Here is a 22,120-nt window from a genome sequence, read left to right as displayed (position 1 = left end):
GGCCCGCGACCTCCTTGCCCCGGCCCCGGCCCGCGCGGTCGGTGGTGGGTCGGACCAAACCACCCGCTCCAGCCGGGGAGCAGAACGGGCGAGGCTCCCCCTCCGGCCACGATGGAGTCTTCCGTTGCCATGGAGCTGCCCGCCCCAAACCACGCCGCCGGCGCCGCGGAGGGCAATCGCCAAGGACCGCCGCCTGCCTGAGCAGCCCGGGGTGTCTGTGCCTCCGGAGCCCGAGAACCTGGGACCCAGGCCAGCCAGAGGTGGGTGTGGGGGCGGATGCGTTTGACCCTGGGGCTGAGCTGGAAGGGTTTGACCCCCGCCCCCCAGGCAGAACTCCGTCCCATATGAAACGCCTTTCCCGGAAAGCTGTGCCAGAAAAATGACTTTGTTAATAGTTCTAGTCCCTGGTTCGTTTCAGGGAACCCCGGCGCTGGCACAGCCTCTGTTGAGGGACCCGCCCCTGACTTTGCAGCAGATGTTATAATAAAGTATTATTATAACACATTTACAAAAACATTAAACAAAAATCAAGGGCCAGCCTGTCTGGTGAACAGTTAAGACTCGTGAGTGTCTGCCTAGCTAAAAAGGAGAGCATGGTCCATAGCCCCAAAGTCATTTAGTTTTAGTATGTATAACCTAGTTTTGGAAGCTGATTTGCCTCTAGTATTTTGTTTTTCTTAAAGGAATACTCCTTTTATCTGCATAAGCCAGGTACTGAGGTAGTAAGCAGGCCTGCTGTAGGGCCCACAGTTGAAAAGAAATGGACTGATATTCTCTGCATAACGATGGTGCATAAATGCGCATGTGCGACTTAGAGATTGGTTATAAATCGAACATCAGTAGCCACTACCCAAGTTAAGAAATAGAACCTCATCAGCACCCCAAAGTCTCTCCCCCATGCCACTCACAGACCCGCTCTTCTTGACCATGGCTGACTTTTTCTTTAGTTTTACTACCTATGCATGCGTCCCTAAACAATATAGTTAACTTTCACTTATTTTAAACTTTATATAAACTTTATATTTATATAAAATTTTAAAGATGATATATAAATTTCTTTAGTTTTACTACCTATGCATGTGTCCCTAAACAATATAGTTAACTTTCACTTATTTTAAACTTTATATAAACTTTATATAAAATTTTAAAGAATATATGTGGTGTTATATAAACAATATATAATATAAATATATAGACTATATATAATGCCACATATAGTTTTATGTAAGTTTAATAATATATATTAAACTTCATATAATACTACATATATTCTTTAAATTTTTGTTTTTTTGAGACAGAGTCTCACTGTGTTGCCCAGGTTGGAATGCAGCAGGGCGATCTCGGCTCACTGCAACCTCCACCTCCTGGGTTCAAGCGATTCTCCTGCCTCAGCCTCCCAAGTAGCTGGGATTATAGCATGCCTGGCTAATTTTTGTATTTTTAGTATAGACGGGGTTTCCGCGTGTTGGCCAGGATGGTCTTGAACTCCTGATCTCAAATGATCCACCCACCTCCGCCTCCCAAAGTGCTGGAATTACAGGCGGTGAGCCACCACACCCAGCCAACTTTCATTTATTTTAAATTTTATATAAATTTATTTATATAAAATTTTAAAGAATATGTGTGGTATTATATAAGGTTTATATAAGTTTAATAATATATATAAACTTTATGTAATACCACATACATTCTTTAACATTTTTTGAAACAATCCCAAACTTGTATAAAAGTTGCAAGCTCAGCACAAAAAAACTTCTCGTGAAGGATTTGAGAGTAAGTTGCCTTCATGATGCTCTGTCGCCCCCCACCCTTGTAGAGTGTATTTTCCACAAACGAGGACATTCTCCAACACAGCCACACATGGCCCGAGTCAGGAGAGGACACAGGCCTGTTGCCGTGTTTACCCCTCAGCCTGTCAAACACGCTTTGCCAGTTGATTGCATCAGGGCCCCAGCGTGGAAGGATCCAGCCTAGAGTCACTTTGCACTGAATTCTCACATACCTCTTTATTCCCCTTCAGTCCAGAACATTCCTTGGCCTTGCTTTGGCTGTCATGACCCTGACACCTCTGAAGGTCATGGGCCAATTACTTTGGAGAAAGTCCCTCCATTTGGTTTCGTCTGCTGTGTCCTCGTGATTAGATTCCCACTGCACGTCTCGGACAGGAAAGTCGCAGAGGTGACACCGTGGCCTGTTCATTCCATCCAGTCAGTGGCTCACAGTGGTCACGTTGTCACGTTACTGATGATGTTCACTTTGAGCTCTTGATTAAGGTGGTATCTGCCAACATCTCCACTGGGAAGTTCTTTTTTCCTTCGTAATTAACAAGCATTTTGGCCGGGTGCAGTGGCTCACGCCTGTAATCCCAGCACTTTGGGAGGCTGAGGAGGGCGGATCACGAGGTCAGTAGATCGAGACCATCCTGGCTAACACGGTGAAACCGTCTCTACTAAAAATACAAAAATTAGCCAGGTGTGGTGGCGGTTGCCTGTAGTCCCAGCTACTCGGGAGGCTGAGGCAGGAGAATGGCGTGAACCCAGGAGGCGGAGTTTGCAGTGAGCCGACCCTGCGCCACTGCACTCCAGCCTGGGCGACAGAGCGAGACTCCGTCTCAAAAAAAAAAAAACAAAATGAAAAACAAAACAAAACAAAAACACAAGCATTTTGTAGGAGGTATTTGGAAGCTATGCAAATATGTCATCACTCCCAGGCTTGGCCTGGGAGGCTCTCATGGTGGACACCTTCTTCTCCTGCCTGGGCTCTGATACCCTCTGCTGGACCACACCTGGGGCCGCCCTCTTTCTTCTCAGGCTCTGACATCCAGCTCTGAGCCTCAGCCACGCACACCGGCACCCTCCTCACCCAGCCAGGCACCTGCAAACAGCTCTGAGCCTCAGCCACATACCCTCACCCTCCTCACCCAGCCAGGCTCCGACAGCCCAGCCTGGGCCACTGTGGATCCTGCTCCACCTGCCCTACCCAGGGAACCTACTGTGACAGTGAAGGGAAGGGGGAGAGGAAGAGCATCAGGCGGGCCTCTGTCTTTTTCTCCTCGGGGTTGTGCGAGAGATTCATCCACACAGTGGCACCGTGGCCATCGGGGCTGTCTCTAAGCCTCAGGACCTGAGAATATGACCTTATTTGGACTTACAGTGATGCCTGTAAGTAGCTAAGAGGAGGACATACTAGAATAGGGTGAGTGCCTCATCTGGTATGACCGGTGTCCTTATAAAAAGGAGAAATTTGGACATACAAATGCACACAGAGAGAATGTCCTATGAAGATTGGAATTTTGCTGCCACAAGCCACAGAACTAGCAGAAGCTAAAAGAGAGGCCTGAAACAGGCCCTTCCCTCGTGCCTTCAGAGGAAGCATGGCCCTGCCATCAACTCGGTTTTAGACGATGGCTTCCAGAACCGTGAGACAACTCTGTTGTTGAAGCCACCTAGGTTGTGGTACTTTGTTATGGCGACCCCGGGAAGCTAACACAACAGGTGGGATTTTCTGTAGGGTGTGCTCCTGGGAGAGGAATCGCAGAGCCAGAGGGTGCCATAGGCAGGATGATCTCCCCCTTCCCCAAAAAACCCATGTCCTGGTCCTCCGAACCCATGCGCGTGTTAGGGGACGTGGCACGTCCTTAACTGTGAAGTGCCTGTTGACGTCTTTTGCCCATTTTGCTGTGGGGCTGTCTGTCTTTATCCATTCATGGATATTCCTTACATGGTCTTGACAGTAAAATTCTGGGTTATGTGCTGTGATTGTCTTCTACTTTGTAGGTTTTCTTTTTTCTTTTTTTTGAGATGGAGTCTCGCTCTGTCGCCCAGGCTGGAGTGCAGTGGCACGATCTCAGCTCACTGCAACCTCCACCTCACCAGTTCAAGCAACTCTCCTGCTTCAACCTCCTGAGGAGCTGGGACTCCAGGCGCCTGCACCACACCTGGCTAATTTTTTGTATTTTTAGTAGAGACGGGGTTTCACCGTGTTAGCCAGGATGGTCTTGATCTCCTGACCTCATGATCCGCCCGCCTCAGCCTCCCAAAGTGCTGGGATTACAGGCGTGAGCCACCGCGCCCGGCCTGTAGGTTTTCTTTAACTTTCCCTAGGATGTCATCTGAACAAAAGATTTGGTTTTGTTTATTTGTTTGAGACAGAGTCTTGCTCTGTCGCCTAAGCTGTAGTGCAGTGGCACAATCTTGGCTCACTGCAACCTCCTCCTCCCAGGTTCAAAGGAGTCTCTTGCCTCAGCCTCCCGAGTAGCTGGGGTTACAGCCGCACGCCACCGCGCCTGGCTAATTTTTGTATTTTTTGTAGAGACGGGGTTTCACCATGTTGGCCAGGCTGGTCTCGAACTCCTGACCTCAAGTGACCCACCTGCCTCGGCCTCCCAAAGTGCTGGGATTACAGGTGTGAGCCACTGCACCTGGCCTGAATGAAAATTTTTAATTGAAATGTGGGCGACTCTACCCAATTTTCCCTTTGTGCCTAATGTCTTTAGCGTTTTATTTGAGAAATTCTGAAGTAACAAGGCTCCATTCCCACCCCCCATCGACTCCCCGCTAACACACACTGTAGCTGAATTTTGATTTTTCCCATACGAGTCTTTAATCCACGTGAGACTGATCTTTGGGTGGGTGCCGACAAAGATGTCCATTCCGTGGCTGCTGTTCAGCAACCCTGCTTCTATCCTGCATAGCGCTAGTACGTGGGGGCCTGTTTCTGGCCTCTCTGATCTGTTCCATTGGTCTGTTTGTCTTGTCCAAAGCACTCTACTGTCTTAGTTTTACAGCTTTAGAATCAATCTTGATATCTGGTGGGGCACCCCTTCCCCCTTCAAAACTATTGTTCCATTGTTCTTCCATATACATTTTAAAATTCACCAGACGAGTTTCTCATTCTCTTGCTCTTGCATGTAGACACACACACACATTTCTGTTGGGATTTGGATAGGGGTTTTAGGGAATCTATAGAGCAATCTGGAAGGAACTGACTTCCTGACAACATTGAGTTTGTAGTGCTTGAACATGAGCTATTTATTTATTTATTTTATTTTTTAATTTTAATTTTATTTTATTATTACTTTTTTCGAGACGGAGTCTCACTCTGTCGCCTAGGCTAGAGTGCAGTGGCAAGATCTCAGCTCACTGCAAGCTCCGCCTCCTGGCTTCACGCCATTCTCCTACCTCAGCCTCCCGAGTAGCTGGGACTACAGGTGCCCGCCACCACGCCCGGCTAATTTTTTTTTGTATTTTTAGTAGAGATGAGGTTTCACCCTGTTAGCCAGGATGGTCTTGATCTCCTGACCTCACGATCTGCCCACCTCGGCCTCCCAAAGTGCTGGGATTACAGGCGTGAGCCACCGCGCCCAGGCTATTTATTTAGACTTTCTTTTAGAAAAAACTTTTATTATGGAAAATTGCAAAGTCAAAAAAGTAAAGAGAATGATAATACGAAGCCCCAGGTGCCCGTCCCTGCCTCAGCAACTATCAGCCTCACAGCATTCCTCTCCCATTACCCCTCCCTACGTGTAGATCTGGACTAGCATGTTTCAAAGAAAATCCCAGGCGATATATCATTTCACCTGTAAAAACCTTTGCAGATGCCTCTGACAGATAGAAACTCATTTTTAGCATAACCACAAAATCATCATCAACCCCAATACAATTAATAATTTCTTGTTTTTTTTGAGATGAAGTCTCGCTCTGTCACCCAGGCTGGAGTGCAATGGCACGATCTTGGCTCACTGCAACCTCTGCCTCCCAGATTCAAGTGATTCTTCTGCCTCAGCCTCCGAAGTAGCTGGGATTACAGGTGCCCGCCACCACACTCGGCTAATTTTTGTATTTTTAGTAGAGATGAGGTTTTACCATATTGGCCAGGCAGGTCTCGAACTCCTGACCTCAGGTGATCCACCCGCCTCAGCCTCCCAAAGTGCTGGGATTATAGGCATGAGCCACCACGCCCGGCCCACATTGATAATTTCTTAATGGAAACTAATGCCAGTTTGTGCTCACTTTCAGGAATTGTCTCAAAAATGTCTTTTACAGCTGGTTTGCTTGAATCGAGATTTGAACAAGATCCCCAGGTTGCATGTGGCCGACTTGTCTCTTGAGGCTCTTTTCACTTAAAGACCTCCCCTTCCTTATTTTCCTCCAGGCCATTTATTTGTTGAAGAAATGGGTCGTTTGTTCCATTTATTTTTATGTCTGTCTCCTTTCATGCTGCCCGAGGGGGTTCCTCGCATTCTCTGTAGAGGTCTGTGTGTCTTTTGTTGTATTTCTTCTTGAGTACTTCATGGTTTTTGATGTGATTATAAACGGTAGCTTTTCTAAATCTCATTTTCTCATTATTTCTTCTGATAAATAGAAATATACTTGCTTTTCATTATTGAAGTTGTACCAAGCAACATTACTAAGTTGTTTTAATTAAATAACTTATCTGTATATTTGTTTGGATTTTCTATGTAGAGTCATTTTATCTGAAATAATGACCATTTTTCCCTTCCATTCCTTATGCCTTTTATTTCCTTTTTTTTTTTTTTGAGACGGAGTTTCGCTCTTGTCGCCCAGGCTGGAGTGCAGTGGCTCAATCTCAGCTCACTGCAACCTCCGCCTCCTGGGTTCAAACGTTTCTCCTGCCTCAGCCTCCCAAGTAGCTGGGATTACAGGCGTGCGCCACCACGCCTGGCTAATTTTGTATTTTTGGTAGAGGCGGGGTTTCCCCACATTGGTCAGGCTGGTCTCGAACTCCTGACCTCAGGTGATCCACCAACCTTAGCCTCCCAAAGTGCTGGGATTACAGGCGTGCGCCACCGCGCCCGGCCGCCTTTTATTTCTTTTACATCTGATTGTTCTGGCTGGGGACGTGATGAATACTGAGAAGTGGTTTTAGAGAGCGTCCCTGTTTTGTTCTCGGTCTTAAGGGAATGTTTTTAATGTTTAAGTGTGACGTTTGCTGTGGTAATTTTTGGTATATATATACTCTATCACATTACAGATGTTCATTTCTTCTTCTTCTTTTTTTTTTTCTTTTTTTTTTTTTTTGAGACAGAGTCTTGCTCTGTCACCCAGGCTGGAGTGCAGTGGCATGATCTTGGCTCACTGCAACCTCCACCTCCTGAGTTTAAGCGATTCTCCTGCCTCAGCCTCCTGAGTAGCTGGGATGACAGGTGCCTGCCACCACACCCAGCTAATTTTTGTATTTTTAGTAGAGACGGGGTTTCACCATGTTGGTCAGGCTGGTCTCAAACTCCGGACCTCAAGTGATCCACCCGCCTCGGCCTCCAAAAGTGCTGAGATCACAGACATGAGCGCCCGCACCCGGCCAGTATTTCAGGAGACCTTCTTTCTGTTACTGCCAGTCCACTTAGAAGCCCACATGAGATTACACACACTTAATCTGATTTTTTCTCTATTTTTTCGTATGTTTAAAGTAGCTCCCATAGTGAATAATCTGATCAATCAACGTGAAGTGCAGAATTGAAGCTGCTGAGTCTTCCTGGTGAATTGAACATGCGGTTAGAATGTGTCCCCACTGCCGTTCCTGCTTTTTGCCTAAGTTTTTTGTCTGTTTCTAGACAACTCCACTAACTTCCTGTTTATGCTTCCTGCCTTTCTTTCTGACGCAATGCTTCTTAAGCTTGTGTTTTAGACGTCTCTCTCTTAAACTGTAGAGAGTTTGGGCAGGCACAGTGGTTCACACCTGTAATCCCAGCACTTCGGAAGGCTGAGGCGGGCGGATTACCCGAGGTCTTGAGTTTGAAACCAGCCTGGCCAACATGATGAAACTCCGTCTCTATTAAAAATACAAAAATTAGCCAGGCGTGGTGGCCTGTGCCTGTAATCCCAGCTGCCCAGGAGGCTGGGGTACAAGAATTGCTTGACTCCGGGAGGCAGAGGTTGCAGTGAGCCGAGATCGTACCTCTGCACTCCAGCGTGGGCGACAGAGTGAGACTCTGCCTCAAAAAACAAAAACAAAAACAAAAAAAGTTAGTTTGATTTTTTTTGGTTGTTCTTGGGTTTGTTGTTGTTGTTGTTTTCATTTTGTTTGTTTGTTTGAGACGGAGTCTCGCTCTGTCGCCCAGGCTGGAGTGCAGTGGTGCAATCTCGGCTCACTGCAAGTTCCGCCTCCCGGGTTCATGCCATTCTCCTGCCTCAGCCTCCTGAGTAGCTGGGACTACAGGTGCCCGCCACCACACCCGGCTAAATTTTGTATTTTTAGTAGAGACGGGGTTTCACCGTGTTAGCCAGGATGGTCTCGATCTCCTGACCTCGTGATCCACCCACCTCTGCCTCCCAAAATGCTGGGATTACAGGCGTGAGCCACCGAGCCCGGCCTGTTCTTAGTTTTTAATGCAACTCGATAATATACTTCCCTTTAGCTTGCTTATTTAATCTATATTTTTACTTAGGTTTTAACCTGAAAGTTTCTTATTTTGTCCGTTCTTCAACTGTTTTTTTTTTTCTTTTTTTTGAGACTGAGTCTCATTCTGTCGCCCAGGCTGGAGTGCAGTGGTATGATCTCAGCTCACTGCAACCTCCGCCTCCCGGGTTCAAACGATTCTCCTGTCTCAGCCTCCTAAGTAGCTGGGATTACAGGGATGCGCCATCACGCCCGGCTAATTTTTGTATTTTTAGTAGAGACGGGGTTTCACTATGTTGGCCAGGCTGGTCTCAAACCTTAAGTGATCCGCCCACCTCGGCTTCCCAAAGTGCTGGGATTACAGGTGTGAGCCACCTCACCTGGTTTGTTCTTCAACATTTTTACGAGAATTAAAGTACAGTCCTATCCGGCATTTCTGATGATTTTCAGTGTGATGCCAGCACACTGGCTAGCCATGTCACCACAGTGGAACTTCCACTGCTTCTTCAGCACGCTTTCCTGGGTCTCTCAGTTCCCAATCCCACTGCTCCCACTGGAGGACCACCTGAAGCTGCCCAGTCCTGAACCTTTCACAGCTGTGTGGCGACGTCGGGTTTGTTCTCAGCTTCTCCTGCAGAGGGTCAGCCAGCGCCTCTGTCTGCAGGGACAGCTACCCTCATCCCTCCACCTCCCGCTTCTCTTTGCTCCTGTTTCTCCCAATGACCCTTGCCCTGGTAGATTCATGTACTGAAAACAATAAATCTACCCCCTGTTGTTAGTGAGGACTCAGGAGAGATCAGAGGTGGCTGCCTGTTGGAAGTGCCGTCTTTAACCGGATGCTCAGTGTATATGGTTTAGTGTGATCATCTTCAGAGGAACTGTGTGTGTGCAATGACACCTTTTAGAAGACTGACATCCACGGGGTGTCCAGCAAAATGACGTCGCGGAGGCCGCATGGAATTCACAAGCACAGAGCTGAATAGGTTTGGCCATTTTCTAAATAGTTTCTGAAAATCCTGCCATTCAAAGACTAGCAGCTTAATCAGTTCTTTCAAGTGGAAAAAATATTGTTGGAATTTTACAAGATGCCTTAAAATTCTGCCTCCCAGGACTTTAAAATGCAATTGTTTCTTTGTAAGTTTAAAAAATTACTGGCATTGATACATTAATAATTTATCCAAGAAACATTGCTAGGCACTGAAAATATTTTTAGTGAATTATTCTGAAGCGATTGCTAAGTTAAGCAATGAAACACAGTCCTCTACAATTTTACAGTTTTAGCATCTCATACATAATGTCAACATTTATGTACATTTCACCCGGAATTACTCATTATTTCAATGCAAAATGGTAGTGCTAATTCCCAATGTTAAATGTCTGTCTCTATACTAGGTACATTGACTTAAAGCTTTTTTTTTTTTTTTTTTTAACCCTTTTAGAGTCAGGGTCTTGCTCTGTCACCCAGGCTGGCCTGCAGTGGCACAATCACAGCTCACGGCAGCCTCGACCTCCTGGGCTCAAGTGATCCTCCCACCGCAGCCTCCTGAATAGGTGGGACTACAGGTGCCCACCACCACGCCTGGCTACATTTTTTTATTTTTATTTTATTTTTATTTTTTTTGAGACGGAGTCTTGCTCTGTCGCCCAGGCTGGAGTGCAGTGGTGTGATCTCGGCTCACTGCAAGCTCCGCCTCCCGGGTTCACGCCATTCTCCTGCCTCAGCCTCCCGAGTAGCTGGGACTATAGGCGCCCGCCACCACGCCCGGCTAATTTTTTGTATTTTTAGTAGAGGTGGGGTTTCATTGTGTTAGCCAGGATGGTCTCGATCTCCTGACCTCGTGATCCACCTGCCTCGGCCTCCCAAAGTGCTGGGATTGCAGGCGTGAGCCACTGTGCCCTGCTGATTTATAAGCATTTGACATCAGCTGTTTTGTATATTAATCATGGTACAAGCACAATGTGATTAATAGGCGTTAAAACCAATCACATATTTAAGGTCTAATAGAAAACAGCCACCGGCCGGGCACGGTGGCTCACGCCTCTAGTTCTAACACTTGGGAAGGCCAAGGCAGGTGGATCACTTGATCCCAAAAGTTTGAGACCAGCCTGGGCAACATGGCAAAACCCTGTCTCTACAGAAAATACAAAAATCAGTTGGGTGTGGTGGTGCGTGCCTGTAGTCCCAGCTCCTTTGGGAGGCTGAAGCAGGAGGATCAATTGAGCCCAGGAGTTGGAGGCTGCAGTGAGCTGTGATCGCACCACTGCACTCCAGCCTGGGTGACAGAGTCAAACCCTGTCTCAAAAAAATAAAAGAAAGTTAGCCATTAAATTTAATTCTCACCAGAAAAAAATAAGTAAAGAGTTTGTGATTTTAACATTGTTTCTTTTTTTTTTTTTTTTTTTTGAGACAGTCTTCCCCTGTCGCCCAGGCTAGAATGCAGTGGCGTGATCTCGGCTCACTGCAACCTCCGCCTCCTGGGCTCAAGCAATTCTCGGGCCTCAGCCTCCCAAGTAGCTGGGACTACAGGTGCCTGCCACCATACCTGGCTAGTTTTTGTATTTTTAGTAGAGATGGGGTTTCACCATGCTGGCCAGGCTGGTCTCAAATTCCTGACCTCAAGTGATCTGCCCACCTTGGCCTCCCAAAGTGCTGGGATTATAAGCGCGAGCCACTGTGCCCGGCCTGTTTCTTAAGTGAAATTATTTAGTTCCAACATCTGGACACAGAAGATTCGGTACCAAGAGTTCCACACGAGCAAGCTCCTAACATTCCCAAAATGATAAGCAAAGTGTAATGATAATTTTGAAATTATTTAAGAATTGTTTTTGGGCCAGGCGTGGTGGCTCACGCCTGTAATCCCAGCACTTTGGGAGGCCGAGACAGGTGGGTCACGAGGTCAGGAGATCGAGACCATCCTGGCTAACACAGTGAAACCCCATCTCTAATAAAAATACAAAAAAATTAGCTGGGCGTAGTGGTGGGCGCCTGTAGTCCCAGCTACTCGGGAGGCTGAGACAGGAGAGGGGCGTGAACCCAGGAGGCAGAGCTTGCAGTGAGCCAAGATCCCGCCACTGCACTCCAGCCTGGGAGACTGAGCGAGACTTCATCTCCAAAAAAAAAAAAATTGTTTTTGGTGCCAGATGTAGTGGCTCAAGCTTGTAATCCCAGCACTTTGGGAGGTTGAGGTGGGTGAATCCTGGCTGAGACCAGGAGTTCAAGACTAGCCTGGGCAACAAAGAGAGACCCACCATCTCAACCAATAATTTGAAAATTACCTGGGCATGGCGGCATGTGCGTGTAGTCTTAGCACTTGTGAAGCTGAGGCGGGAAGATTGCTTGAGCCCAGAAGTTTGAGGCTGTAGTAAACTGTGATTGTGTCACTGCACTCCAGCCTGGGCAACAGAGTGAGACCCTGTCACAAAAGAAAACAGAAATTGCCCAACAGTGTTCCAGAGTATCCCTTTACACTCCCACCAGCAACGCGTGACGATGCCAGCCCTTCCATAGCCTTGCCAGTGCTCACTGTTGGCAGCGTTTTGATCTCAGGCATTTTTTTTTTTTTGAGACGGAGTCTCGCTCTGTCACCCAGGCTGGAGTGCAGTGGCGCGATCTCGGCTCACTGCAAGCTCCGCCTCCTGGGTTCACACCATTCTCCTGCCTCAGCCTCCCGAGTAGCTGGGACCGCAGGCGCCTGCCACCATGCCCGGCTAATTTTTTCTGTTTTTTAGTAGAGATGGGGTTTCACTGTGCTAGCCAGGATAGTCTCGATCTCCTGACCTCGTGATCCGCCCACCTTGGCCTCCCAAAGTGCTGGGATTACAGGTGTGAGCCACCACGCCCAGCCAATCTCAGGCATTCTACTCAGTATATAATAGTATCTCATTATGGCTTGATTCATATTTCCTTAAAGATACTGATGTTACACAGTTTCACATGCATATTGGCCATTTGTATATCTCTTTTCTTATGGAATTCCAAATCTTTTGACATTTTTTTCTTGAGATGGAGTCTCGCTCTTGTCCCCAGGCTGGAGTGCAGTGGCACTATCTCGGCTCACTGCAACCTCTGCCTCCCGGGTTCAAGCAATTCTCCTGCCTCAGCCTCCTGAGTAGCTGGGATTATAGGCATGCGCCACCACACCCAGCTAATGTTGTATTTCATTATTTTAATTTGGTATTTGCTGGTGGGAGTGTAAAGTGATACTCGAGGATACTGTTGGGCAGTTTCTTTTTTCTTTTGTGACAGGGTCTCACTCTGTTGCCCAGGCTGGAGTGCAGTGGTGCCATCACAGCTCACTGTAGCCTCACCACGTTGGCCAGGCTGGTCTGGAACTCCTGACCTCAGGTGATCCACCTGCCTCGGCCTCCCAAAGTGCTGGGATTACAGGCATGAGCCACCGCGCCCGGCCTCTTTGACCTTTTAAACTGGAGTTTGGACTTCATGTGGTTGATAGGAGCTCTTCATGTGTTCCAGATGTAAGACTTGTGTCAGATATGTGTGTGCTGCAAATATTTTTTCCTAATCTGTCGTTTGTTTTCTTAATGCCTTCTTTAAGAGAAATGGTTAATTCACCGTCTTTTAAATCTATGATTTTATTGATCTATATTTTGCGATCATCTTTTGCAGCTAATTTCTATCTCCCAGCATGGAGGATGACGGCAGCCTGCTCCCTGAGGACGAGCTTTTGGCCGATGCCCTTCTTTTGGAAGATGGTAATAAAGCTTCTTTCACAGTAACGGAAGTTTCAGCAAAAAGACAAACAAATGACATGCTTCATAGTAGCCCTTTAATTCCCTTTATTTCTGGGAGAGGGTATCTTTTACACTCATATTTTTCTCTCAAAGAGGGAGCTTATATTATTGTCTTTATTTGAAAGAAAGATAAATTGTGGCTGAGATGTTGAAGGCGGCAGACCATAGTTTTCTAGTTTCCAACATCAGTATTGAGAAATCTGATGCCATTTTTATCCCAATCCTTTGAATGTGACCTATTTTTGTTTTCTTTTCCTGGAAGCTGTTTTTAAAAAATCTCTGATGATCTGAAATGTTACTGAGACGTGCCTTGATTTGGTTCTAGTTCTGGGCACAGGCAGGCCATCGCAATCTGGGAACGCATTTCCTTCCCACCCCCACCCCACTCCCCACCCCGTTTTGGGTTCTGTTGTGTGCTGAGTCAGCTCCTGGCGCTGTGTGGCCTTCTCCCCCCTGCCCCCCGCCACTGTCTCCCTCTCCCGCCCCCCTTGTGACTGTGGCTTTCTGCCTTTTCCATCATTTTTACTGAGATTTAATGAAGGGAAGAAAAACTGTGTTCCCTTTGCCGTGTTTTGCCGGAAGTCCGCTGTAATCTTCTGAGATAGTGACCTTCAGCCTCTTTTGTCTGAGAACCCCTTTACATTCTTAAAAATTATTGAAGACACAGAGAACATTTGTTTATGTTGCCTGTATCTTTCCATACTTACTGTATCAAAAATTAAAGCTGGAAACATTTTAATACGTAGCCACTTAAAATAGCAATAACGAACCTATTGGCAGTAACGTTAAGAGTTGGGTTTAATGGAAGACAGCTGGAGTCTTAGAGCTGTCTGTTGTGACGTCACCTGTCATGCAGCCTCTGGAAAACGCCACTGTCCTCTCATGGGAAGAGAGTGAGGAGACAAATGGCGTGCGAGTGTGATCATGAAGACAGTTTTCACCTCACAGGCCCTGAAGGACACTAAGGGACCCTCAGGGTTCCTCGGATTTTGCTTTGAGAACCATCAAGTTAGACTTGTCAAGATTTATCCTAACACTGGCCGGGTGTGGTACCACCAAGTTAGTGCGTGTCAAGATTTATCCTAACACGGGCCGGGTGTGGTGGCCCACGCCTGTCATCCCAGCACTTGGGGAGGCCGAGACGGGTGGCTCACTTGAGGTCAGGAGTCCAAGACCAGCCTGGTCATCATAGGGAAACCCTCTCTCTACTAAAAATATAAAAATTAGCTGGGCATGGTAGGACACATCTGTAGCCTCAGCTACTCGGGAGGCTGAGGTGGGAGGATCCCTTGAACCTGGGAGGCGAAGGTGGCAGAGAGCCAAGATCACGCCACCGCACTCCAGCCTGGGCAACAGAGACTCCACGTCAGGTTCATGACTACGCCGAACGTCATGTTGAGGTCCAAAGGGAGTGGGTGGATGAGCAGAAGGAACGCTCGGGGGCCGTAGGCAGGTGAAAAAGGATTTTATTCAGCAGCAGCTCTCCCCAACGGCTTTGTCTCACACCGTCCGCCCTGTCCTGGCTGGTTAGTCCGGCGGCTCCCACACACACAGCTGCGTGGCCGGCTCTCCCTTGACTTCAGGGTCAGCAGCTTAACTCTTTCTCTGGACACCAGCCAAGCGGTGCTGTGCCCTTGCTCCCCGCTGTCCGTCTGCAAAGACGGATGTCCCTGACTCTCTCTCTCTCTCTCAAGGCGCCAGCGCCCCAGTCCCACTGAGTCACCCAGGCTGTTTACCTCTGCCTGTGCTTGTGTGGCTGCAGTGCAGCAGGTTCCTTACACCCTGTCCCAAAAAAAGAAAAAGATTTATCCTAAAACTTCAGATGCAAATGTTTGATCTGCTTTTTTTTTTTTTTAAACTCTTGCCTTGATTTCTAGAAAGAGATGAATTAGAGGATCCGGAGTTTGACATCAAATGTCTTCTACAGGAAGCTGAGGATGACGTGGACCCGGGACACAGCAGGTAACTCGGAGGATCGGGGGTGGAGGTGGGTGTGGGGGGGTGGGGGTGGGGGTGGGGGTGGGGGGGTGGGTGAAGGGAGCGGGGCGGCTGCTTCCTCCCTCCCACAGGCTGTAGCTCCCGCAGCTCCCGCCCTGAAGCAGAACTGTCAGGCACCTACCCCGGCAGCCACACCGAGGAATGAGTTCTGAGCCTGCAGCTGGGGTGGTGGCAGCTGACGTCCTTTTCATCCTAAGCTCAGTGAAAGAACTAGATACTGATGCTGATAAATTGAAGAAGAAAACAGCTGAGGACAGAACGCAGGCATTTCACCTGCGGCAGAACCTGAGCGCCCTGGATAAGATGCATGAGGAGCAAGAGCTTTTCACTGAGAAGATGAGGTGAGCTGGGGCTGAGGCCGCTGCACCTGCACCTCTTGATGCCCCCCAGGCCGTGACATGGGTGCAGCAGGGGTGGTCCTGTACCTGTCGTCACCCTGAGGGCCTGCAAGGGAGGGTCGCACAGGGTCTCCATGGAGGAGCAGTTCTGCAAGCCCCACCCGGGAGCTAGTGCCCAGCGCTCCCAGCCCCCTTCCCACAGAAAAGGCGGAAACAAGTGGCCCCGCTGCCCCCAGCGCCACCCAGAGTTGCCACCTGTCAAGCTTTCGTTGTAGCTTCTTTCTGTGTTTGTGTGTGTTTGTATTTTATATCTATGGGATTTTGTGCTAAATTATGTTAAAGCAAATCACAGACATGATACGTCACTCCTAAATATTTCAGCGTCTCCTAAAAACTAAAAACATTCAGCGGAGAGTGGTGGCGCACGCCTGTGGTCCCAGTGACTTGGGAGGCTGAGGCCAGAGGATGGCTTGAGCCCAGGAGGTCAAGGCTGCAGCAAGCCTGGGTGACAGAGCAAGACCCTGTCTCTAAAAATAAAAAACTGAAAGACAAATGTTCTTCTGCATAACTTCTTGCCCATAACTCGGGCACCTAACTTGGGTACTTCACCCGGGGAAACTACGATTTCCCTCCTCGGCTCCGGCAGCGCCCGTGTGTTTTCCAAGTGACCGTCATGGCCGGGCGCGGTGGCTCACACCTGTAATCCCAGCACTTTGGGAGGCCAAGGTGGGTGGATCACGAGGTCAGGAGTTTGAGACCAGCCTGGCCAATATGGTGAAACCCCGTCTCTACTAAAAATACAAAAATTAGCTGTGCGTGGTGGTGGGCGCCTGTAGTCCCAGCCACTTGGGAGGCTGAGACAGCAGAATCGCTTGAACCTGGGGGGCGGAGGTTGCAGTGAGCCGAGATCGCGCCACTGCACTCCAGCCTGGGTGACAAGCGAGGCTCTGTCTCGGGAAAAAAAAAAGCGACCTCCAGAGTTCATGCTCTGGGCTTTGCTCCGTTGTTTGTACCTGAGGCCTGAGTCGCCCCCAGGAGCTACCATGTGAACTGGATTCTGTCCCGGCCCATGCCCCACTGGTGACCTGGGCCTGCCTGGCCCGCTCTCTGGAAGATGGTGGAGGAGCTCCAGCTCCTCCCCTCCCGTGGGCCCCAGACCTCCCACCACGTGCCCTTCACACGCAGGAGTGCGCTTGTTTATGCAGACCCAGGTTCCCTCCCGCTCCTGCACCGTCCTCGGCCCTGGGGAGCATGTCACCTTCGGGTGGGGGCCACACAGCTGCCCCTGGGCAGTTTTCCAAAAATGGACGACAAGACCCTGCTTGTGTGGCTTGAAGGTGTTAGAGAGACCCCTGGCCCGGGTGAGGGGGGCTCTGGGGGTCTGGCTCTGCCTCACCTGGCCCCATTGCCACGCCCACTGTCACTTTGGAGGCTGGAGTTTCAGGGAACCATCATCTGACCTTTGTTTCCCTGTTCCAGAGGGGAGCTGCGCGCCTGTCGGCAGAGGCGGGACCTGATCGACAAGCAGCAGGAGGCTGTGGCAGCCGAGATCGCCACAGAGGAAGAGGCGGGCAACATGTAGGTGGCCCTCGCCAGGGGGCAGGGAACCGGGCATGAGGTCAGGGCCGGAGGTTCACTGGTTCACCCAAAGTGAGGCGTGAAGCACCTGCTGTGTTCAGGCCAATGAGGAGCCCCAGTGTGAGGCCACAACACGAACATGCAGAAGCATGTGAGGTCGGCACTGCTGGGGCCTGGAGGGCACTGGGGCTGGATCTCTGGGAGGCAAGGCCGAGTGGGTCAGCAGTCAGGGGAAGGCCTCTTGGGCCACTCTTGCCTGGAGCAGCAGGGTGAGGCAGCTGAGGGCGAGGTGAGAGGTGAGAGGCCTGCATGCGTCCCACACTCCCAGGTGGGAGGGGCCTGGGGGACGCTGGAAACGCCAACACTCACCAACAGGCATTGCTCCGGGAGCCTGGATGGCTCCACGGCTGCAGCTCTGGCCTCGCCTCACCCTCTGGGGGCACCAGGTGCCTGCAGGGCCTGCCGAGTTCAGCCCAGCCCTGGAAGGCCCCAGCAGGGTGCCCGACCTGGAGGGGCTAGTGCAGCCATGGGGAGCAGAGGGCCAGCAGCCAGGGGCAAGGGAACCAGCAGGTCCTCCCGGCCCTGGGGGGTGAGGGGCTTCGGGCCACTGCAACCTCTGCCCCTCCAGGTTTAAGCAATTCTCTGCTGCAGCCTCCGGAGTAGCTGGGATTACAGGCATGTGCCACCACACCTGGCTAATTTTTTTTTGTATTTTTAGTAGAGACAGGGTTTCACCATCTTGGCCAGGCTGGTCTTGAACTCCTGACCTTGTGATCCACCCGCCTCGGCCTCCCAAATTGCTGGAATTACAGGCGTGAGCCACCGCACCCAGCCCTCTGCAGGGTTTTGACCTGCCTCATTCCTGGACTGTGGCACCCAGGATCTAGGGGTGACTGCCATACCCGGCCAGCTGCTCAAAGCCCACCACCCGTGTCCACATGGCCGGGACCTCTGGCCAGCATCACACTGTGCCGCTCTCGTGGGCAACCGCCCACCGCCCGGGAAGTGGTCTCTAGGAACGTGGCTGGGCTGGCACTGGATGTGTGCTGGGGTGGATGATGCCCAGGAGGGGAACAGGAGGGAGGGAGGGGACCCAGGGCGCCCTGACGCGAGGGCTTGGGGCTTGTCGCACGTGCTGGGTCCTTCCCGGGTCACAGGCCTGGATGGCTGCTGCCCCCAGGGGCTTCATGCAGGGGCCACTGAGGGTCCAGGGCAGGCTCCCCAAGCCCTCACTCCCCCTGGGGCTGTGCCATGTGGGCACTGCCTGCCCAGCGGAAAGGGGCATGTGGAGAGCCTCCCGCCAGCCCCACGCTCCATTGGCTAGGTGGCCCAGTGCCGAGATTTCCCTCCTGAGCGAGAGGAGGCCAGGGAGTGCCAGGTGAACCTGGATGGCCCCTGGATGACTGAGGCCTGACACACGCCCGGCCTGTCCGTTCACCACTGCAGGGCCGCTGTGGGCCGCCTCCAGGCCGTGTCCAGACGCCTGTTTGCAGAGCTGGAGAACGAGAGAGACCTGCAGTCGAGGACTGAGGCCGTGCTGAAGGAGAGCGAGTGAGTCGGTGTGCAGCCGGGACTGGCAGCAGGCAGGCCCCAGAACGGTGCGAGTCCTTCCCATCTGGGGGCAGAGAGCAAGATCTGGGGGGTTTTGCACCTGACCGGCAAACTGCGGGGAAGTGGAAAGGGGACTCGGTGAATGCAGTGGTTGGAAGGGTTAGTCTTCACGTTGCCTTTTTCAGTTTCTCTGGGTTTGTTTATGTTCCTAGGAACTCCAAAATCAGGTTCTTTTTCCTCTTTCCTCGTTTCTCATGCTTTGTGCTTCCACAGAACAGCGAGCTGGGTTTTCAAAGCCCAGGAGAGAGACAGCTGCCTCGTCCTAAATGCTTTCCTGTGGAGTTGGGTTGGATGCGTCGAGTTGCCTTCGGCGAGTTTGGCAAGAAGGGGTTTGGGAAGGTGCACGAATTTCTCAGGGCGACTGAGGGGACCCTGAGCTGACCTCAAGTAGGACTCCCGAACCACACAGCCCCCAGCCCCGGGAGCTGCAGCCAGGTCCATGACATCCACAGCACTGACCCTGCACGTGCCCGGGATGACCTAAGCTTTCCAGCCTGGGCAGGGCAGGAGGCACAGAGAGGGCTGAGTGCAGGCCTCAGGCCACCCCACCCCTAAGAGTGCCCATGCCGCCAGCCCTCATGCAACCTAACATCTCAGCCTCACTCCACTGAAGACACCACTGAGCTTTGACCCAGTCTCTGACCTGCACTCACTGTGATGTAGTCACGACCCAGTCTCTGACCCACACTTGCTGTGACGTAGTTTCTGGCCCAGTCTCTGACCCACGCTCGCTGTGATACAGTCACGACCCAAGCTGGTGTCCAGTGCCCTGCACTGTGGCCCCACCTGTGTGGGCAGTGGGAGGGGTGCAGGGGAGGACAGGACGCTGAACCCAGCTGTGGCTGAGCGTGGAGAACACTGTCCCCTGCGACACTCCTTTGACAACTGGCTCTGTCATGCCCCTCTCACTGCTCAGCAGCACCTGCGCCAGGGTGAGGGGCTTCACAGGGCTAATGAACCCCAGAAGGCCTCACTTTACTAGGTTGATGTGATTGTCCACTTCTTTAAAAAAAAAAAAAAAAAAAGTTTTTGGGCTGGGCCCAGTGGCTCATGCCTATAATCCCAACACTTTGGGAGGCCCAGGCTGGTGGATCACCTGAGGTCAGGAGTTCAAGACCAGCCCAGGCAACATAGCGAAACCCTGTCTCTACTAAAAATACAAAAATTAACTGGGCGTGGTGGTGCATGCCTGTAATCCCAGCTACTCGGGAGGCTGAGGCAGGAGAATCGCTGGAGCCCAGAGGTAGAGGTTGCAGTGAGCCAAGATTGCGCCACTGCCACACTCCAGCCTGGGCGACAGAGTGAGCAAGACTCTGTCTTTTAAAAAAAAAAAAAATGGCTGGGCGCGGTGGCTCACGCCTGTCATCCCAGCACTTTGGGAGGCCGAGGCGGGTGGATCACAAGGTCAGGAGATCGAGACCATCCTGGCTAACACGGTGAAACCCCCATCTCTACTAAAAATACAAAAAATTAGCCGGGCGTGCTGGCAGGCGCCTGTAGTCCCAGCTACTCGGAAGGCTGAGGCAGGAGAATGGCGTGAGCCCGGGAGGCGGAGCTTGCAGTGAGCCAAGATTGCGTCACTGCACTCCAGCCTGGGCGACAGAGCGAGACTCCGTCTCAAAAATAAATAAATAAATAAAGTTTTATTTTGAAACAATTCCGAACTTACAGAAGAGCTGCAGAATGGCAGCAAGACCCCCTGTGCCCCTCGGCCCCGCATCCCAGAGCCGTGCCTGAAGCCCATGTGGCGTTGTGTCGAGGGTGGCCCCTCGCCTCCCCCAGTCAGAAGGAGCCTCGGTTCTTCTGTGACAGGCGGACGTTGCGGTTCTGAGGATTGCAGGCCAGGGGCTGTCCCGCACAGCGCCCGTGCTCGATGCCCCTGGGGGTGATGACCAGTCCCTCGGGTGTCCTCTCATGGGACACGTGATGGCTGCCAGCCCCACTGTGGGGCCGCTGGCTTCTTCAGTGCAGCGACACCGTTCCCTTGGAAACTGATGCGTAGCTTGTGGGCAGAAGCTTTGAGGCTGGGAAATCCCGCTCCGTGTCCCCTTTCACACGAGCGCTGGCATCCCTCCGTGTTTCTTGCCAGAATTCATTCCTGCTGTGATGGCTTCTAAGGGGTGAGTTTCCAGTTGCACCATCCCTTCCTATTAGTTGGCTTTCCACCGTTAGGGGAGCGTTCCCCCTCCGTGATCGCTCTCCGTGTAGGCTGGGGGTGCTGTGTCCCTGCGGGTATGATCCGGCCCATCAGGATTGGTCTGGGTGCTCCAGCCGCCTTGCGTTTGGCGGTGGCATCCTTCCGCATCCTGCGTTCGTGTCTGCCGCTCTGTGGGCGTTTTCGGGCACAGTGAGAGGCTCAGGTTCCCTTCTTCTTCCCTGCCCTTGCCTGGACCCAGACCCTTAACCGTCAGTAGACAGAGGTGGGAAACGCACGCAGCTCTGCCTGCCTGTATTGAAAACCACCCGTTCACATCTGTAATTCCAATTGCAACCAAAGCCACAGGTCTATTTCACCCCCTTCTCTGATGGTGTGAACCCTGCCTCCCACCACCCTCATTTCGGGCAGGTAGTTGCCCCATCCCTACCCGCAGGCGGCCCCGAGCGCCCGGAGCCCACCTGCCGCCCTCCTCCTGTGGGCCCGGCTGCTGCCGGACTGCCCGTGGACTTTCCTTTAAGTCAGCTTTATCTGGGTCTAATTTGCATGCAGTACAAAGCATCTGGAACGTTCCCTGCATATCTTCAGTGGGTAGCCCCACCCCACCAGGCAACCTCTGGTCTGCTCTCCACCCAGTGTTAAATTTTCTAGGACTTCACTCCAGCAGATGTTTGCAGGGTGCTCCGATGGAGCTCCTGGGCACAGCCTGAGGCATGGGGCTCATGCATATGCGTGTCCCCGTGTCTGTCCCTGGCGGGGTGTCCTGCATGTCCCTGCGTGTGACCACAGCTGGGACTCCTGCATGTCCCCGCGTGTGACCACGGCTGGGTGTCCTGCGTGTCCCCGCGTGTGACCACGGCTGGGTGTCCTGCGTGTCCCCGCGTGTGACCACGGCTGGGTGTCCTGCGTGTCCCCGCGTGTGACCACGGCTGGGTGTCCTGCGTGTCCCCGCGTGTGACCACGGCTGGGTGTCCTGCGTGTCCCCGTGTCTGTCCGTGGCTGGGTGTCCTGTGTGTCCCCGTGTCTGTCCGTGGCTGGGTGTCCTGTGTGTCACCGTGTCTGTCCGTGGCTGGGTGTCCTGCGTGTCCCCGCATGTGACCACGGCTGGGTGTCCTGCGTGTCCCCGCATGTGACCACGGCTGGGTGTCCTGCGTGTCCCCGTGTCTGTCCACGGCTGGGTGTCCTGCGTGCCCCCCGTGTCTGTCCGCGGCTGTGTGTCCTGCGTGCCCCCGTGTCTGTCCGCGGCTGTGTGTCCTGCGTGCCCCCGTGTCTGTCCGCGGCTGTGTGTCCTGCGTGCCCCCGTGTCTGTCCGCGGCTGGGTGTCCTGCGT

General features: G+C 51.6%; 1 protein-coding gene across 1 annotated transcript in view, besides 5 other annotated features; it reads left to right on the top strand.

Annotated features, from left to right (window-relative positions):
* Nucleotides 17-311: a silencer, noted in NCBI's record as "tiled region #11961; HepG2 Repressive DNase unmatched - State 4:PromP". NCBI's record gives its function as "represses a minimal TATA promoter and a strong SV40 promoter by Sharpr-MPRA in HepG2 cells {active_cell/tissue: HepG2}" and the evidence as "EXISTENCE:reporter gene assay evidence [ECO:0000049][PMID:27701403]".
* The window catches only part of CFAP74 (cilia and flagella associated protein 74), an 81,830-nt gene continuing 59,884 nt past the window's right edge, over nucleotides 175-22,120 (top strand). Inside the window, exons 1-6 of the mRNA NM_001304360.2 lie at nucleotides 175-260; nucleotides 12,986-13,071; nucleotides 14,988-15,072; nucleotides 15,306-15,449; nucleotides 16,926-17,024; nucleotides 18,471-18,575. Of these exons, the coding sequence (NP_001291289.1) occupies nucleotides 13,005-13,071; nucleotides 14,988-15,072; nucleotides 15,306-15,449; nucleotides 16,926-17,024; nucleotides 18,471-18,575 (500 nt within the window). The 5' untranslated portion in view covers nucleotides 175-260; nucleotides 12,986-13,004. The remainder of the gene's footprint in view (nucleotides 261-12,985; nucleotides 13,072-14,987; nucleotides 15,073-15,305; nucleotides 15,450-16,925; nucleotides 17,025-18,470; nucleotides 18,576-22,120) is intronic.
* Nucleotides 14,406-15,605: an enhancer, noted in NCBI's record as "CDK7 strongly-dependent group 2 enhancer chr1:1919795-1920994 (GRCh37/hg19 assembly coordinates)". NCBI's record gives its function as "activates an origin of replication core promoter dependent on BRD2, BRD4, P300/CBP, MED14 and CDK7 cofactors, with strong dependence on CDK7, by STARR-seq in HCT116 cells {active_cell/tissue: HCT116}" and the evidence as "EXISTENCE:reporter gene assay evidence [ECO:0000049][PMID:35650434]".
* Nucleotides 14,538-14,728: a silencer, noted in NCBI's record as "fragment chr1:1920672-1920862 (GRCh37/hg19 assembly coordinates)". NCBI's record gives its function as "represses an EF-1alpha promoter that drives an FKBP-Casp9 reporter gene in an ReSE screen in K562 erythroleukemia cells {active_cell/tissue: K562}" and the evidence as "EXISTENCE:reporter gene assay evidence [ECO:0000049][PMID:32094911]".
* Nucleotides 16,501-17,191: an enhancer, noted in NCBI's record as "H3K4me1 hESC enhancer chr1:1918209-1918899 (GRCh37/hg19 assembly coordinates)". NCBI's record gives its function as "activates a minimal SCP1, AML or CMV promoter by ChIP-STARR-seq in naive H9 embryonic stem cells {active_cell/tissue: H9 hESC(naive)}" and the evidence as "EXISTENCE:reporter gene assay evidence [ECO:0000049][PMID:30033119]".
* Nucleotides 17,192-17,883: an enhancer, noted in NCBI's record as "H3K4me1 hESC enhancer chr1:1917517-1918208 (GRCh37/hg19 assembly coordinates)". NCBI's record gives its function as "activates a minimal SCP1, AML or CMV promoter by ChIP-STARR-seq in naive H9 embryonic stem cells {active_cell/tissue: H9 hESC(naive)}" and the evidence as "EXISTENCE:reporter gene assay evidence [ECO:0000049][PMID:30033119]".

This window comes from Homo sapiens, chromosome 1 (genome assembly GCF_000001405.40).
Source record: "Homo sapiens chromosome 1, GRCh38.p14 Primary Assembly".
NCBI lineage: Eukaryota > Metazoa > Chordata > Mammalia > Primates > Hominidae > Homo > Homo sapiens.
This window is presented reverse-complemented; position numbering and strand designations above follow the sequence as displayed.